A 17,232-nucleotide genomic window follows, 5' to 3' on the forward strand; every position below is an offset into this window, starting at 1 on the left:
GTGGACAGCTCAGAAAAGCTCCTGAAGCCACAAATATTGCACCCAAGATGGATGAGAGCAGCCAGGCCCAGGCAGCAAGAGTCTGTCACTGGAGCCAGGACTTCCTGAAATGAGTGACTGAGCCAGGGTTAGTGTCCTGTTGTGGAGGAGGGCAGATGCGGGGAGTGCAGAGTGAGTTCCCATCTCTATTGGGATTCCAGCGCAGTAACAAGGAGCCAGCTTACCAGAGGCGAGCAGGGCAAAAGCAAGATGGCAGGATGGGGCACGATATGTTGGGGGTTGGGTAGCAGAGGGTGGACAGGTGAGGGATGGAGGGTTTTTCTAGCACCAGGGGATAGCAAGGGCAAGTAGGCCCCCTTGAGCTCATCACTGCCCTTCTTCAGGAGGAGCTAAAGAGGGGGAAAGACAGGGTGCATCTCTCCAGGGCCCCCTGCCCCAGTCAAACACCCCTGTGGCCATAGCTCCTGGGCTCCCAGTGTGCCATGGGGAAAGCACTTCCTCATCCGGAATCGCTCGTTACTCGTGCTACATGAAGAACTCAGACATCACAGAGGGGGCAGTCGCCAGGAAGCAGAGCTCTGGACTGTGATTCCATGAACTCGCGCACCCCCTCCTTCCCTTCATCCAAACAAGGCCCTTTGGCGTGAATAATAGCTCAGCGGCTCCGAAGCCGTATTGATCGGCTGCAAACCCGGCTCCGCCGAGAGCTGCCAGGGCTTTTCCTGGGGGCAGGACCAGCACCGCTCAGCACAGCCTCCTCTCCCCCTCCCACTTCCCCGGCCTCCCCCAGGTGTGTTCAGGAGGGGACAATACCTGGGGGAGCCCAGGCCCTCTCCAGCTCAGTGCCACTTCGTTACCGCAACTTTGCTGTTTTTCACTTATTTTGCCAGGGTAAGCACCTAAGTTAGAGAGAAATGTTTTTTCGTGACGAGGCCCCACAGAGTTGAGAATGAACACATCCTCCCGCTCCAGTTTCTCCCCAGAATGTTCTGCCAAGGACCCAGGCCATAGAGGCATCCTGGGCTGACACCTGTGGGGGCCCTATTATACCCCCAGCGCTGACAAGCACTTCGGCATCCTGTACCACATTTTCGCGTTACTCTCCCCTGTCTCATCCCATCAGAAAAGAGGAGCCAAGAACATGGCTAGGACTCACCACCTCCTTGAGGGATGGGGACTGTTGCAAAATTCAACAGACGTGCATCAGCCGCAGGCTGGGAGACCAGCAGAGACCAAAGCCTGCCAGCCCCACTCCCTGAGCCTCTGACCAGACTGTCCCTCCCCGTGTTTGCACCTCTTCTGGACACAGGAAGTGGTCAAGGCCTTGACCCTTTGAGGGATGCCAGGCCCCTGCGCAGTGACACCCTCGCGGTGGTGGATGCCTGAAACCCCACCCCTAGAGAGGCCGTCCTGTGGTTTCTGCCCTGGAACACTGGAAAAATGCAGATTCATTTTTCCCTAGACAGCTTCAGTCCTACCAGCCACAGATCCCTCTAAGTGAGTTGTCTGACCCTTTCCTGGGGGCAGATTTTGGGTTTGGGGGAAGACAGACCCACTACATGAGGGAGCCTGAGTGGTCTTTGGGAGAAAGGTTAGAAGGAAAGAGGGGCTTGGTTCCCTAGGACCAGCTCCCTGGAGGTTGCCCCGTATCAGCTGCCTTCAGCCTTGCCTTAAAACCCACTCCCTGGCCAGGACCCCGTTCTTCTAAGGATTGCGTTCTGGCTTAGGGCTGCATGCAGGCAAACATGGGAGCCTGAGAATGGGCTCTGCAAAGGAGCAGTAATGGGTTGAGGGTCTCCTGACAGGTCCCACAGCCATGCCCTGGCTGAGAAGGATCGAGAAAGAGCAGGGAGGCTGGGTTGGAGTTTGGACAGCTAACCCTGGGGGCAGGAAAATTGTGTCCCTCCTCTGGCCCTCCTGAGGCTGAAGGAAGTCCAAATCCGCTGTGGTGTACAATTTGGCATTTGGGGAAGGACCCAAAAGGGATTCTTTTCTGCCCTGAGCAGACCTTCCCCACACTGCCACATCCAGGGGTCTTGGCACAGAGGGGACACTGTGGCCGTCAGAGACTCTCCGCTCAATTTCCATCTTCTCTCATTCATCCACACCCACCCTTCCAGAGCTCTACACTGCATTTCTAAAGAAAGGGAGAAACTCGAGTGAGAACTAGAGGGCTTCACTGAGCTCATTATTATCCCCGACAAGACTTCTAAATAATCTAGCCTTTCCCTGTTTGAAGCATGAGAGGTGTAAGCAGATTTATTCATTCATTCATTCAATCAATATTTATTGAGCATCTACTATGTTCCAGGCCCCGAAGACACATGGTGAAGAAGATAGATAAGAAAAGAAAGAAGGTAGTCTCACAGCACTGGAAGTCAGAAAACTATTTTCCTTTCCAGAATCCTGACTCACTCCAATCCCGGGCAAGGTCATTCTCAGGGTCTCAAAATCACATTGCGATGCCTGTGCCTCTGCCACCTTCTACACTGCCCCCTGAGATGAATGCACCATCACTGTGAATTACTAGGCAAAATCTTCTCCAAGTGGACAATGCTGTATGTTCATTCCTCCTTGCAATCCCCATGACTGCATTAGCAAAGGAGCCCCGCTGAGGCTGAGTAGGGCTGACACTTGCCTGCAGGTGGGCAGGTCCCCATCAGCACTGGCCCTACTTCCAGGACTGGCCTAGGAGAGGCCAGGGATAGGAATGGGGACTGTTTAGATCGGGGCCGACTTGGAGGATTTTTTCCTCCTGCTTATTAAATGTTAAAGGTTTGACTTGGCAGGCAATCAGGAGCCCAAAATATCATAAAAGGGAAAAAAGTTGCCGAGTGGCTAAGAGGTGCACCACGGGAGTGTCACTGGGCCCGCCGGCGAGGTGAATTGCTAAGCAGAGAGCAGTGAACGGGGAGGAAATGGAGCAGCAGACATTTTCAAAGGCTTCTCTCCCCTTCTTCTCCTCTCTCTGTCCCCCATGCGGAAAGGGGAAAATAGAAGTAGAATCCAGATTGGGGCGCGTGGCTGATTTGGTCCTCCTCCCGCACCATCCTCCCCCAGACAGCAGAGAAACTTTGATGTCTGGGTGCATGGCATTCAGGGACAGAGGAGCCTGGGCATCCCAGCAAATGCAGCCGCATGTTCCGCCTCTGGACGGCCTCTCTGAACTCCTTTGTGAGGGGAGATGAAGCCCACAGAGCTGGAAAGAGCAGCGTTTTGAAATGAGGAAGTGTGGATCGGCATTCCTTGAGCTCAGTGCTAGCCACCTTGGCGATGGGGTGAGCCAACCAGGAGCTCAGATTTATAAAACTTTTGAGCTTTGTGGGCCCTAGGGGGCCACTGTGGCCTACCTGCTGATTTTCAGATGGGGAAATGGGGGCTCAGAGAGGGGACAAGATTTGCTTAATGGCACCTAGCAAATTGGTAACAGGTCCAGGAGTAGATTCCATGCCTTCAGCCTCTGGTGAGACGTCTTTCCTCTGCACCAGGAAGTGGAACTTCAAACAGCACCAGGGGTTGGAACTTTTGTTTCAAATCCTCTCTGCCTCATCCCCACCCACTGCCCAGCAACTCAAGGCTGGGTCTTTCGCCCCCTCAGGCTCAGAAGGGCTGTGGCCCAGCCACAGAGCCAGGGGGCCTCCTCAGTAGTATTGGCCTTCACACTCTTGGTGCTAAAGTTCTCCAGTTACTTTTTTATTAAACCAACATGTACAGAAAAACTCAGTTTTCGGCTGGGCACAGTGGCTCACACCTGTAATCCCAGCACTTTGGGAGGCCGAGGCAGGCAGATCACTTGAGGTCAGGAGTTCGAGACCAGCCTGGCCAACATGGTGAAACCCTGTCTCTACAAAAATACAAAAATTAGCTGGGCGTGGAGGCGCGTGCCTGTAGTCCCTGCTAGTCAAGAGGGTGAGGCAGGAGAATCGCTTGAACCTGGGAAGCCGAAGTAGCAGTGAGCCGAGATCGCGCCACTGCACTCCAGCCTGGGTGATAGAGCTGGAGGGAAACCCTGATACCACTTCTGGGTCCAGATGGCTGTGGCTGGAATGCGGCCACAGCCAGGAACAGCGTGGTACGGATACCAGTGGGGCTCTGGTCTTTTCCCAGAGGCTGGCACCTTTCATGCCGAGTTGGGCCTCGGGTCTCGGGGCTCTAGGCCCTGCTGTGCCAGTGGCCTGATGTGTGGCCTTATATGCCAGTCACACCCTGCTCCAGACCTCGGTTTCCTCATCCACAAAATGGGAAAGCTGGGCTAGAAAATCTCTCAGGAAGGTAGGTCTCTGCTAGCTCCCAGCCTTCCATGGCAGTGCAAAGGGAACCTTCCCAACAAAGTAAGAGCCAAAGGCTAAGATGGCAGTCTGTGGTTTGTAGAACCTTCTAGAAGACCACGAGACTTGGTAAGCTGAGCTTCTAAGTGGTCCAGGATGCAGGGCTGGTGTCACAGGTGTGTGACCAGTAGAGCTACACAGGGCTTTGTGCCCAGAAGGGCCCCACGCTTGGGAAATAAGGCTCTGCAGTCACTGTCTTCAAATTCTTAATAATTTTATCTTTGTCACTGTGTTTTGTAAGTGAAGTCCAATGGGACAGTGGAATGTGAACTGGGAGCATGGAGCCTCCCATCTCCCTGCGTCCAGGATCTGCTTCTCAGCTGCTTGCTCCTCTGCCCCCACAGCTCCAGCTCCAGCTCCACTCACCTTCTACCTCCCTGCCTCCCACCCAGCAACCACTGCCAACCTGCCCCCAACCTGGGCACAGGCACACCCTGTGGGGGAGGGGGACAAGCACACCCCACAGCATCTCAGAGTGGGGCATGGTGGCAGCAGTCCCCATCCTGCACTGGCAGCCCAGGGCACATTTCATGTGGGACTCTGCGGGGGTGAGCCTCTAGCCCCCCCCAGATCCAGTACCTCGTGTGTCCTGGTACAAAATTTGTAGTGCCCCGGGGGCTGCCCATCTGCTATGGGTTGGGGCAGGGGCCTGTGGGAGGATGCCTGGCTCAACCTCCTGCCCTAGGCCTGGAGCACAACATGTGGGCCCAGCAGCTCACAGGAAAGGGAGCCAGAAGATGGGTTCAAGTGTTTGTGTGTTCCCCAAGTCACCAGGGTGCCTGTGGGGGTCTGCACTCCCCCAGGAGAACCCTCATGTCTAGGGAGCACTCCATGGGGTCATCTCCATGCCTGAGAGGACCCTCTCTTCCTTCTTTCAACCTTCCGGAGCCCAGCTTGTCTCTTCCGGCCAGGTCAAGGTATCCTCCTGAGAGAACCGTGAAATACAGTGTGCCGCTTTGATAATTCCACATGCATGTTCAATATTCGGATATTTCCAGTTAAAACTGGCATTGCACAATATAAAAAGGAATGGTAAAAGTCATGCTAATAATTTAAAATTTTGACTTTACTTAGAATGGTATTAACTAGCAAATTTAAAACACCATGACAAATTGAAAGTGAGACTGGGGAAGAAAGCAAAAAGCATGTTTTCTGACTGTTTGAACAAGGGGCCCCACATTTTCGTTTTGTAGTGGGTCCTGAAAATTATGTAGCCAGTCCTGCCTGGTGAGCCACCTACCCTCTTGGGCATTTAGTTGTCTATCAGTAAACTAGATCATTAACACTGCGCCTGCCCCTCCTGCTCACGGGCACGTTAGGAACATGCGCTTGGATAAAATCCAAGCCAGAGATTTAGAAACCAGTGTGTGGTGCCAGCTCTCAGCCTTGGAACCACAAGCCCATTTTTCTTAAAAAGGGATCTGGACTGGCATCCAAAGAGATTTCAGTCCCCTCATATAGGTTTAACCACCATGGGCAAGGCAGTCTCTCTCCCAGGTATTCCTCTCACTAGGTGCTCTGCTCTAGAAATGAAGTCTAAAAGCAGCCCCATCAATACAGAACAGAGTTAGAACCACCCGGAGAGATTTAATCTGGAATCCCAGCAAGTTGTGAAATGGAAAGACTAGTCGGCCAGAGAGCTGAGGTCTCACAGTGTGCAAAGACCAGTCCTCAGTATCTGCACCCATCCATTTGAGTTTCAGGTGAAGCCTAGGATTTGGGAGCTCAATACAAAGATGCCAGCATGAAGGAGGGTGGGTGCCAACTAGGTTTGGATTTAGAGACATCCTCCTTTTGGGAAAGGAAAATATCCTGATTCCACTTAGGTTTCCAGGAAGAAGGCATCCCCATTTCAGAACAGTTTTCTAAGCCACCCTCATGGAGGTTTCACCTGCAGCTTTCAGTCTGCTTTGTCTGATGTTTGAGGATGCAACTGCCCAAAAATGGGTCTAAAGTAGCATCCCGTCACGTTCTGTAAAAAGTAATACTGCTTTAAGGTAACACTTATGGAATGAATGAATGCATGAATGAATGAGTCAGTTTGGATGAAGTTGCCTCAAATAGAGTCTAAATATAAGATTTCATACTCGATAGTGTCATTTCAGGATCAGGAAAAATTAGGTGACTCCCATTTGGTTTCTACAGCTTTTCCCCAATATCATGTTAAAGTTTTGGCTTTTATCTTATTTCACTTATTTCATTTTGAGTCATGTCTTCTGGCTCCAGCTCAGCTTCCTAGAGATAATTCATTAGGCCCGAGAGCTGCTCCAGAGTGGGATTAGAACCCGTGTAGTACATAGTCACATTAAACTGAGATCGGCTAATTAATCGCTCTTCTCCGTGTAACTGAGCGATCGCGCTCCTTCCCCGAGGAATTGCAATTTCATGGTTCCTAATGATGGTGCGATTACATTATGTGGATCACTTAGGCTGTGGGTGTCAGGAGCGGTACTTGGAGCCTCTCTCGGTGGGGATGGGAGAAGTCACTTCTAAAACCGGGGAGATGGAGGAAAGCAGTTAGAATGTCTGTTACTAATTTTTGTTAACGTGCTGCTGTTTCCTACATCTCATTCAGGCATTAGTTTCAAGTTCCATTTTCCCCCAGCACCGTGTGGCACCTTCCCCAGAACCCTCACATTTTTTTTCTAATATTCACAGGGTTATTGTTTGTAAAAAATCTATTTATTTGCTTTATTCCATCAAGTAATTTATTTTCATGAGATTTCTTGGAAATGTGGCTCTACATATCGTTAGTACAAGTAATACATTTTGATTGTTGTTTCCTGGAATAACTTGTATTATTTGATGAGTTAAATAAAATGCCTAATTCTAAAGTCGGCTATTCCCATCTTTTCCATTTGAATTCTTTCACTTACTTCCATTTCCTTTCTAATTGAAGGTTAGTTCAAAATCTTCAGTTCAGTGCTCTGCTACAGTTTTTGGACTGTGAATTAGACGCTGTCATTTTTTTAAATGATGAAACTTGGAAAGATAATATTCAAGGTTGTTTTTGAATGCAGGTTTTTATTTTTCTTTAATTTCCCAAAAATATGGCATTACAGAGCAATCACAGACTTGGATCTGAGCTCTCATTCTCTCACTGGTGAGCCTGGATAACCTACTGATCTCCTCACTGAGCCTCAGTTTCCTCTACTGTAAAGCAGAGAAAATAGCACTCCACCCAAGGACTGATATGAAGATTCAATTAGGTCGCCGTGGAAAACACCCCCAGGCATGTGACAAACCATCACACTCATCATGACTAAATGTGTTGCTCAGTAACATGGCAGACAAATATTGCTTGGGGGGTTGTTGGTGTTTAGGGTTTTTTGTGTATGTGCAGAGTCCTCATGATTCTGGGCTTCAGATACCTAAAGAATGCCTTAATTCCATACTGTAGCTCCAGTGGCACAGTCAGTTAGCGCACGGTATGTGGAAGAACACCTTAATGGTAGAAAGATATTTATTTCTCCATTATTTAAAAAATTCATTTTAAAAATGTTTTAAAATTATTATTATTATTATTATTTTGAGATGGAGTCTCGCTCTGTTGCCCTGGCTGGAGTGCAGAGGCGCGATCTCAGCTCACTGCAAGCTCCACCTCCTGGGTTCACGCAATTCTCCTGCCTCAGCCTCCCAAGTAGCTGGGACTACAGGCGCCCGCCACCACGCCCGGCTAATTTTTTGTATTTTTAGTAGAGACGGGGTTTCACCGTGTTAGCCAGGATGGTCTCGATCTCCTGACCTCATGATCAACCCGCCTCAGCCTCCCAGAGTTCTGGGATTACAGGCATGAGCCACCCACCCGGCCTAAAATTATTTTTTAACAATAAATAGAGCTGGGCATGGTGTCTCATGCCTGTAATCCCAGCACTTTGGGAAGCTGAGGTGGGAGGATTGCTTGAGCCCAGGAATTCAAGACCAGCCTGAGCAACATAGTGAGACCTGGGTCTCAAAAAAGAAAAAAAAAAAACAAACCACACACACATAAGAATAAATATTAGACATGGCACCAGGATCATGAAGGCAGCATTTGAACCACAAAACTGAGTCTCTGCCTTCCCCAGAGCCCAAGGGTACTAAGGGACACCCAGCAGTTCTCTGGCAATTAACTGCTGTAGGAGTTCAGTCACAGAGAGACCTGGAAAGATAAGGCAGGCAGTCTTGGTCGCTTATGCTGGTTTGAGCCTACCTAATGTCCAGCATACAGTATCCTGAAGGAAATTTGAGGACACATTTGAAACATTGATTTTTAAAAATCTATTGATTGGGCTGGGCGAGGTGGCTCACGCCTGTAATCCCAGCACTTTAGGAGGCCAAGGCAGGCAGACCACGAGGTCAGGAGATCGAGACCATCCGGGCTAACACGGTGAAACCCCGTCTCTACTAAAAATACAAAAAATTAGCCGAGCGTGGTGGCAGGTGCCTGTAGTCCCAGCTACTCGGGAGGCTGAGGCAGGAGAATGGCATGAACCCGGGAGGTGGAGCTTGCAGTGAGCCCAGACCGCGCCACTGCACTCCAGCCTGGGTGACAGAGCGAGACTCCGTCTCGAAAAAAAAAAAAAATCTATTGATTGGCTGGGCACGGTGGCTCACGCCTATAATCCCAGCCATTTGGGAGGCCAAGGCAGGTGGATTGCTTGAAATCAGGAGTTTGAGACCAGCCTAGCCAACACGGTGAAATCCCGTCTCTGCTAAAAATACAAAAAGAATTAGCGGGGCATGGTGGCAGGCACCTGTAGTCCTGGCTACTCAGGAGGCTGAGGCAGGAGAACCGCTTGAACCCGGGAGGCGGAGGTTGCAGTGAGCTAAGATTGTGCCACTGCACTCCAGCCTGGGCAACAGAGAAAGACTCCATTTCAAAAAATAAAAAATAAATAATCTATTGATTGAGAAAATGGAGACTATGAGAAATGATAAATGCTGTGATGAGATGCTTTTAAATGAACTCATAACAACATCTGTGGGAATGTGAAAAGTGAGGCATCTAGAATGTAGTTCTTTATTCAGTCTGTGCACAATGCTTGACTCCAAATGGAATCCTGGACCCCTGGATCACTGTGTGGTTCTTAAATAATCCACTGCTGAGGGGCAATTAAAAGGGAAGTAGAGAAGAAATAACTCACCTGTGCTCTCCCAGGAACACTGGTAGAATCCTAGTCCATTCTCCTCCTCCCTGGTCAAGCTGCCACCTCTCACCTGCCATAGACTCCAAGCTGTTCTCCCCACTTGTACTAGGTAGGTTGTCCAAGCTCACAATAGCCAGGGTGAGGATTTGAAAAAGAAAATCAGATCATAGAGCCTTCTGGTTCAAAAGCCTCTGACTTGGCATAGCCTTTCGCATCAGAATTCCTTCCCATGGCCCGTCCAGCCTTGCATGACCTGACGCCTACCCCTGGCCAGGCATTTTATGTCTCCCCACCTCCTGTCTCCATTCCACTTCCCTCACTCCTTTCTCCCTCCAACACTCCAAGCTCTTTCTCCCCTCAGAGCCTCTGCCTGGAATGTTCTCCTCCTCTTCCCTCTTCTCCTTGGCTAGCTCTTTCTACCTGCCCTGTCTCAGGTTACATACACCATCACAGAAGCCTTCCCTGAACCTTCCTCCAATCTCAAGAAGGTCCACCTGATTCTTGCTCATCCTACGTTTTTCCTTATCATAATACATACTCAAGTATTTATTCCTGTGTTTATTCTTTCGTGTCCATCATCCACGTTATGTGGATCACTTAGGCTGTGGGTGTCAGGAGCAGTACTCAGAGCCTGTACCAGGGACCAGGAGAAATCACTCCTAAAACCGAGGAGATGGAGAAAACAGTTGGAATGTCTGTCACTAATTTTCATTAACATGCTGCTGTTTCCTCCATCTCAGGCATTAGCTTCAAGTTCCACATTTTCCCCCAGCTCCATGTGGCACCTTCCCTAAAACCCTCATATATATATATATATATATATATATATTTTTTTTTTTTTTCTTGTAGACAGGGTCTCACTCAGTCACCCAAGCTGGAGTGCAGTGGCACGATCATGGCTCACAGCAGCTTTGACCCCCCAGGCTCAGGTGATCCTCCCACCTCAACTTCCCAAGAAGCTGAGACCACCGGCACGTGCCACCATGCCCGGCTAATTTTTGTATTTTTTGTAGAGACATTTTTTTTTCTAATATGCACTCCCCAGCTAATCTGCATGCTCTGTGGAGGCTGGTACAAGGCCTGTTTATTTCTCCATTGTTTGGTGCCGGAAGAGAGGGTGGCACATAGTGAGTTCTCAGTAGATTATTGTTGAATGAATGAATGAATGAATGGGAGAGAACTTCTATTATTTCAGACAACCTGCTCAGCCAAAACTTCACCACCAGCAAGTTCTCTGTTAATTATCGTTTGTCCCCATCCAAAAGCCTGAGCACTGTGCATGGTGTGGGAGAGAAGACACGTGGGATCCACTTTCCTCCTGGACAAGAGGTGGGGCTGGGAAGAGGCGCTGGGCCATCGGCCACACCTGAGCTAATATTCCTGGCGCATCAGGTGCTTCTCAAGTGTTTGTGGACAGACGGCTGCCTTGGATGAAATGGTATTCACCAGGCGTGTCCTTTTACTGTCCAGTTTGGTCACCAAGATTCTCCCCTATTTTAAGAGGGAGCTGAGCAGCTTCACAAGGCTAGTCTTGTTTGGATGCGTAGCACAATGAATTTGTACCCGCCGAGCCTCCAGCGCTGGTATTTCAAAACCTACAGTACACTAAACGTAAAACTTTTGTTCAAATTTCAAGGATTTTGATAGCCCAAGTGAATAGACACTGCCTATTGATTTTTCCCTTACAATGACTCTTGGATAACCTATTTTCTCATTTATTTTTAAAGACAGCTCAGGAGATTTCATAGCAATTCTGCCTAACCTCCTAATATCAAAATCCCTCCTTGACCCTGAAAATTGTAATTCTGCTATAGATCACAGCTGCTGAATATTACCTTTTACTAAGATGGTTAAATAAAATATGTCCAAATCACTAGATCCCACAAGCCATGCGCTGCAAGTCTAATGATCCAGAGGCTGAGGTTTCGGCCGCTGTACACTCAGCAGCCCCGCGCTCTTGCCGGCCGACACCACAGTGTGGGAATCGAGAATATCGGCTTCGGCTTGGAATTTAAGGAGGAGGAGAGAAAAAGGATAGCTCGGCTGGTCTTCAATGATTTTCTTGTAAAACTTTTACAAGGGAGACTTAGGCTGTTTGATGTGTTCTAGACAATCAAATGCCCGCCGAGTCTGCGGCAGAGAGTGGCTGGTTTTCTCCCTAGTGGAGGAGGGGGTGTATTTTGATGTAGGGCAAGTTCAAAACCCCCAAAGCCTTGCACGCTGGTAGGTCGGATTACACTCGCAAGCTGGGGGAAAATACAACACGTAAAATGTGAAAAAGACCTCTGACCCTGAAAGTCTCATTCTGCCCAGGCCAGGGCTGTTAGTGGGCTCTTAGTTAGGCTGGAGAGGGCCTGGGTATCATTTACCCCATGGAGGCTTCTGCCCTGCCTGCACCCCGTCGGGCCCCTATGCATTCCTGCTCTCACCTGCACTTCATCCATTTTAGCCAAAGGGGCCCTGCCCACCAAGCTGCCCAGCAGCGCATCCACATCAGACTTACTTCTTCTCTTTCTCAGAAGAATGAAGGGCGGCACTGACCCAAGTTGGCTCCGGTGGAGTTGTGAATATTTCAAAGCTGAGGCTTAGATCAAAAGTCATAACCTCTGGCTTTCAGACTGTCCTCTTCCCTTACCTGGGTGGCCCCTGCATCCAATATGGAAATGTTTCCCAGAGAATCTCACTCATTATAGGTGAGCGGAGCCTGAAATGACTCATTCAGCAGAAATGTGGCCTCTCTCAGCAGTGGCCACGGGAGCCCATTTGAAATGCAAGAGGCTCCTCTGTGGGCCTGCCAAGCTCTGTAACTCAGCTCCCTCCCAGCCCTGGCCCTGCAGTAATTCTGCTAGACCTGGTGCCTCCCCTTGCAGGGTAGGCAGTGGGGCTTTGGCAGGTGATGGGTCCATGGAATAGATGCAAAGGTCTGCTGATACCAGCACCAGTTGGGTCTGAGTGAGCAGGAAACTGTCCATGAAAAACAAATTAATCGATAGCAGAGTCCTCCCCCAGCCCTGGTCAAGACCTGTCAGTGGATCAGAAGAGTTCACATGTTACCATGCTTTAAGCACACCTTATGCCAGGGAGGACAGGCATGTGGCAAGAGGTCCTCTCCTTCCCCTCCCCATGCTCCTGACAGACATTGCTAATCGATCCTGGCTCTTTTGTCCTCTTCCTCTCAGCATCTCCTGCAGCCTCTACTCATCAGAAAGAGTGGAGTTAGGGCATGCAATCTATCTAACCCCTAGCATCCCATGTCCCACATCCCACATCACCTGCATACCTCTTCCCCTACATAGAGCATCCTCATACCCCTCTCCAGTACCCTGCCTACTCCTTCAAGGTTCCACCCAGTCCCTGTTTTCCTGACCATCATTCTCTTCCCTGCCTCGCCAGCCACTAAGGAACCAAGCAGAGGAGTGAATCGGAGACTAGGGGTGTGAAGACTCCTAAGTTCTGGCCCTGGTTTTGCCTCTGAATTAGCTGGATAACCTTGGACAAGTCACTTTGCTTCTTTATACCCTTACTTCCCCATCTGTAGATTAATGATACTCTATGATCTCTACAGTGAATCTTAACTCCTCCATGTTACGATGCAAATACCTTTGCAGCTATCCCACTCTTTGAGCCATTTATTATGGCCCTTAGTCATTTCTTTCTCCACTCATGTGAGCTCTTGGAGGGCAGGAATCATGTCTGGGGCTGACACTCTATTTCTCCTTGGGGCATCAAAGTGCTGGGAGGCAGAGGACTCAGGGCCTACTGGTGCCATGTTCAATCCCTGTGGCATTGATCTTTAGCTCCCAAAGAAGGAGTATCCTTAGAAAAATGCAGTAACTTCAAATTAAGCATTGTTCAAAGGGGCTGACTCCATCTTCTATCCCTCCAAAGGGCTTCTGAGCCACTTCGGAGCTCAGGACCGTGAGCCAATGAGAGACAAGAGAGGTGGCAGAGGCTCAGGACCACAAGCCAGACTGCTGCTTGCTCTCTGGCTGGGTGAGCCTAAGCAAGTTAATCAACCTCCCTGAACCTCGTTCCCTTCCCTGCAAGTTGGTCATGATAACATTGCCAAGTTAGGGAGGTGGCATGAGGATCAGATGAGGGAATCCATGTGACACATGCAGCTCAGAACCTGGACAGCAGTGAGTGCTCAGTGAATGGAAGCCCATCACAGCCCTCACCAAGGCCACCAGCCTCGACCAGCCCACACCCCCGCCCCAGTCTCTGGTCTGTTCATGAGACATTACCCATGGGAGCTTGTTCTCTTAGTTCAAGTGAGCTGATGCCTGCTCTGTGCCAGCCACTAGTCTAGGAATACGGATGGGAATAAGCAATTCTTGGCTAGAAAGAGGAGTTGAGAACATCAAGAGCACAAACCAGATGAGGCCAAACAAGGAGGTCCCAATTCTGACAGTCAGATGGGATGCTTCCCAAAGAGACACCATCCCTAACCCCCTACCAACCTGTGATTGGTTCCATGCAAAGAACCCTCTCATGGTACAGCAGACCCTCCGCCCAGTGGACAGTGCCACCTGCCCTGGGGAGAATGCAAGCCACCAGGCAATAAATTTCAGCTCTTGTTACCACCTCTCCATTCTCCTCCATCGCTCCCTCTTGATCTCCCCTCTCTGCTGACAACAAGATATGGCTGGCATTTAGTTGAGGATTTAAAATCAGGAAAGCTTCTCCCTACCTTCAGGCTGGAAGCTCGCTCCCCTGGCTCTCTGAGGCCTCTTGAAGCCGGGCGTTTGCTGAGTGCCAGGAGACCAGCTCCTGAAACCGGAAGGGGCCTGCATTGTTGGACTAAAATAGCAAATGTGCAACATGAGTCTCTTCAGGGGCCTTCAGCGGGCTGGCAGCTTCCGGTGGGTACTCTACACAGGCCACAGGGAAGCAAACTGGAGTGGCCCTCCCTGCCACTTGAGAGAGCCCTTCTATGTACATGACTGTTCTGTCCCTTAGCTAGATTAGTTCATCCAACTGAAAATGGACTTTAGCTGTGCCTAGCAAAAAAGAAAAAAAAATGGCATGTCTGAGTCAAATAAAGCATGCTTAGACACAGGGCCCGTGCGCTTCTCGACTGACATAAATCTCATCTGGGGCTTGCTGCCCTGGATCTCCCAGGACAAAAGAGACCTCCCAAAGCCAAAAGGAGCCCTCTCTCATGGATGGCAGCCACACCCTGACCCATGAGGCCAGAACACGGAGCCCCAGAATGTCGCTTCTCCTCCCCGGTGGCAGTCAATTGATTACTTGTCAGTTTCCAAAATGGTCTCATCTCCAGAAGAAACAATGCACGAAAAAGCAGTTCTGAAAAGAGAATTAAGAGCTTGTTAGACACGGGCCTCAGGTCAGGATAGGTGGCCTATCTGGGGGGCCTTCGAGGAGGCATGCTGCGATTGTTTTTAAGCCAGCCCTCTCCCCTGCAGTTCTCGCTTAATGAAGCTGCTGTACAAGCCCCTTGGAGGGCCCGCATACTGCAAAGTAGTGCCAAGTGTCCCGTTACTGTAAACGGCCTTTTATTTTTAAACTAATGCTATATTTGGAAAGCAGTAATCCTGGGGAAATGATACTGGGACTAATGGGGAACATATTACCTTTCATGTGTTTTTTTCATGTTTAAGGTTTCTTTGTTATTATCTGAGTAGCAAGGCTCTGCACACACTCTTGGGCAAAAAATCAAAATAAGCCTTAAAGCAATAATATTTTAATAAGCATCAAATGTCTTCAATGAGATAAAAGTATTATATGGTGTTTTGATATTGGGCTTTAGTTAAAACCTCATTAAAAAAAGAAAATTTCTCAGATATATTGGGGTAGGGGGGGCAGTAATGTATTTTTAAATTCAGGTGGAGAAAAAGTTCCAGTTCAGGTCAATTATGCTAATTAAATGCCACAAATGACTGAAATTGCCCGCAAATGGACATTATTATTTGTTGCTTTCACTGCTTCCCATTGATCAAAAACAGCAGCTAATGACATTTGAGCCTGCAAAGGCCAAAGCTCCAGTCTGAATAAACATCGGCTGCCTGGACACCAATCACAGCCCTTGGGGTGGGAGAACTAAGCTCTTGTCCAGCTTGCGTCCAGCCCTGTCCTCTTCCCGGGTGAGGTTTCCAACAGCCGAGGCGGCAGTCACCTCTCTGAAGCTCAGATTAGTTTCGTCAATGAATGCTTGGTCCTGTTCCCAGCCCCAACTGGGAAGTGCTGGGGGGTGCAAGTTATGAAATGAAACTAAGTCTTTGATTTCTTCACCCATGGCCAGAGACCCAGCTAGAATCATGAGCTCTTTAGAACTGAAAGGAAGAAACTTGAAGATCCTTCCTTGGTTATATAAAATGAGGAAACTGAGGCTCAGAGAGGGGAAGTGACCTGCCCGAGGGCACACAGCAAGCTACTTGCAGAGCCAAGAATAGAACAGCAGTTTCCTGATTCTCAGTCCATGCCCCCTCACGTGCTCTCCTCTCCAATATTGTAATATAAAAGAGAACTTCAACTTTCCCTCCGCTACCTCATAGCAAATTTCCCTCCGTTTTCTCTTGTAACTGCATGTCAAATCTTAGTTGGGGGCTTCAGCACAAACTAACCTGACTCCAAGATTGGAATCAGGCCACGTGTAGTAGCACTTGAATCTGTCTTCTCCTCTGGTTGACCTAAAAGGGGAGTCTAATTTCAGTTACAAAATGAAATGCAGTTGACTGTGGATGGATGGGACATTGGAGCATGATGCGGCGGGGAGGGGGTATGGAATCCGTGGTTTCAGGCCCATCTGTGAACTCTATGATCCTGACTTTATCTCCTGAGCTAAAGTAGAAACCATACTCCAAGCTGCTACCAGTCGTTTCTACCTCAAGGTAAATAAACCATCTCGGAAGAATGCAGTGGCTTCAAGTTAAACATTGTTCAAAGGAATTGACTCCATCTTCTATCCCTCCAAGGATCTTCAGAGCCACTTCGGAGCTCAGGACTGTGAGCCAATAGTGCAGGAGAAGGAGTCAAAGGAGATCAAAATCCTGGGAAGGGGCTGGAGGTGGTGGCCCACGCCTGTAATCCCAGCACTTTGGGAGACCGAGGCAGGCGGATCACGAGGTCAGGAGTTCGAGACCAGCCTGGCCAACATGGTGAAACCCGTCTCTACTAAAAATACAAAAATTAGCTGAGTGTGGTGTGTGGTGGTGCACACCGGTAATCCCAGCTACTCAGGAGGCTGAGGCAGGAGAATCGTTTGAACCTGGGAGGTGGAGGTTGCAGTGAGCCAAGATTGCGCCACTGCACTTCAGCCTAGGTGACAGTGTGAGACAACGTCTCAAAAAAAAATCCTGGGAGGGGGAGGGGATAGAAGACTGGAGGATGGGTGGTTAAGGATGTCACAGTGACCCACCGATGTGGATCCTGAAGGCCATGACCCCTGCTTTTCCTCAGCCTGCTTGATTTCCAGGCGTGGTTGCGTGGGAACCCTCCCCCACAGCTCAATCAGAGCTGCAGCTGACATGAAGACAGCCCTACCCTCCTGAGGGCTTCAGGAATCCTTGGTTCTGCTCCAGCCTCTATCTCAGACATGTGACTCTGAGCAATTCGCTGGCCCTCTGGGCCTCAATTTGCTGATCTGCAAGATGGGAGGGCTTGGTCTGGAAGGTTTTAGGTTGAATGGCTCCCCAGGAACAGTTCCTGGGTCTTGGGAACATAGAGCAGGCAGCCAAGTCCCTAGAGATATACAGGTAATTCCTAGCCACAGGTAATCCTGAAGTCCTATTTGGGCTTTATAGGGAGAGTCTGGG

The 17,232-nt window shown here is 49.5% G+C and overlaps 1 protein-coding gene and 1 long non-coding RNA gene across 3 annotated transcripts in view, besides 1 other annotated feature; both read left to right on the forward strand.

Moving 5' to 3' along the window:
* VTI1A (vesicle transport through interaction with t-SNAREs 1A) overlaps positions 1-17,232 on the forward strand; it is a 408,381-nt gene that overhangs the window by 373,577 nt on the left and 17,572 nt on the right. The window lies entirely within an intron of this gene.
* LOC103344931 (uncharacterized) lies at positions 2,932-7,168 on the forward strand. The gene has a single exon (NR_120684.1). It is a non-coding gene; the product is annotated as an uncharacterized LOC103344931 (long non-coding RNA).
* Positions 14,417-14,506: an enhancer, noted in NCBI's record as "active region_4068". NCBI's record gives its function as "activates an Ori minimal core promoter by ATAC-STARR-seq in GM12878 lymphoblastoid cells {active_cell/tissue: GM12878}" and the evidence as "EXISTENCE:reporter gene assay evidence [ECO:0000049][PMID:35858748]".

This window comes from Homo sapiens, chromosome 10, assembly GCF_000001405.40.
Source record: "Homo sapiens chromosome 10, GRCh38.p14 Primary Assembly".
In the NCBI taxonomy this organism is placed as follows: Eukaryota; Metazoa; Chordata; class Mammalia; order Primates; family Hominidae; genus Homo; species Homo sapiens.